This window comes from Homo sapiens, chromosome 11, assembly GCF_000001405.40.
Source record: "Homo sapiens chromosome 11, GRCh38.p14 Primary Assembly".
NCBI lineage: Eukaryota > Metazoa > Chordata > Mammalia > Primates > Hominidae > Homo > Homo sapiens.
This window is the reverse complement of record NC_000011.10, coordinates 59,498,316-59,499,809: the sequence shown is the minus strand read 5'-3', so window position 1 is coordinate 59,499,809 and position 1,494 is coordinate 59,498,316. Positions and strand designations below refer to the sequence as shown.

Genomic DNA, 1,494 nt, shown 5'->3' with positions numbered 1-1,494 from the left:
ATGAAGAGCTGAGTGTGAAAAGAGGATGATTTCCAAATAAGAGGCTCAGTGAAGCTGTATGGAGGAAGTGGTGTTTACATTTGGGACATATAGGAACGGGGAGAAAGGACATTCTGGCCTTACAGGACTATTTAAATATATGAAAGTTGCTAATGAGTGGGAAGTTTGACTGGAAAGAAAGGGTGCAAACATGACAGCATGGAAAGACAGAGAAAAGAAAATCATTGCTATCATAAGGTTTCAGAAAACAATACCCTATAATGAAGGCCTCAGAAGTAGCCTCAGAAGTAAAAGTTTTTCTCTGACCTCCTCCTGCCTTCCTGTGTCAGGTGGCTGGTACTTCATTCTTCCCCAAGGTTAGCTGTAGAAACTACAATATCTCTTCCCTAAGGCGGGTCATGGAAACCAGAACCCCTTTTCTCCAAAGCCAGCTATAAAACCTAAACATATTTTTCTAACTTCCCTGTGACTCCACCTTTCTGTGTAAGAGTGGGTCATAAATAAATTCTCAGGTCTACTTTGTTTGACTGTAGGTCATAAGAACCCCATTCCAGAGAGACAGAGAGAGAGAAAGAGAGAGAGAGAGAGAGAGAGAGAGAGAGAGAGCGAGCACTGCCTCATACCCAGGAGCAAGGAATTGCTGCACAGAGAGGCCAAATAAGATCTAAACAGACAGGACTTGCTGGGTTTCACTATTGTCCATTAGCATTAGATGATACCATTTTTTTAAATTTAAAATTTTTATTTTTATGTAGCGCTTCACTAAATTGCGTGCCATCCTGGTAAAGGGGCCATGCTAATCTCCTCTACATTGTTGCATTGTTCCAATTTTAGTATGTGCTGCCAAAGCAAGCTATCATACCTTTTTTGTCCAATCCTATTTCTACATGGCTGTCCACACCTTGTTGAACCTAAGCATAAAAATGAACATTTTCCTTGTATCTTTGGGTCTTCATTCTGAGGGCTCCCATGTCATGTAAAACTATGATCAAATAAATTTGTATTCCTTTTCTCCTAATTGTCTGCCTTTGTCAGCTGATTTTCAGTGAACTTTCAGAGGATGAAGGGGAAGTTTTCCCCTGTCCCCTACACTATAAACTTCTTATTTTTGTGTTAGATCTAAAGAAGGGTAGACAGGTGTTTATTGTCTGAGTCTCTCAACTTTTGTGAGCGTTTGTTACTGCAGGTTTAAGTTCAGGGTAAGAATCACCTCTGTTGATTTCAGCCTGAGAAGATCCGTCTAGAGAAAAGAAGACTGAGAAAAATCTCTTCTCTGTACTATTCAAGAGGTCGCAGAAAGCAAAAGCTGCCTTTTCCCCAATTCCAAATTGACCTCAACTCTTTCTCTCATTCCACAACGTACTCTTTGTTACTATTTCTAGCTTATGCTGTCTGTTACTAAAGGAAGGTTCTCCCAGAATGCAGCATCTTGTATACATATTACATTATTTGTAGTCATAGTGTATTTGTGAATCTTAATGATTACATCTAGAT

General features: G+C 39.7%; 1 non-coding gene across 1 annotated transcript; it reads right to left on the bottom strand.

Annotated features, from left to right (window-relative positions):
- LOC124902818 (U6 spliceosomal RNA) lies at nucleotides 744–854 on the bottom strand. The gene has a single exon (XR_007062997.1). It is a non-coding gene; the product is annotated as a U6 spliceosomal RNA (small nuclear RNA).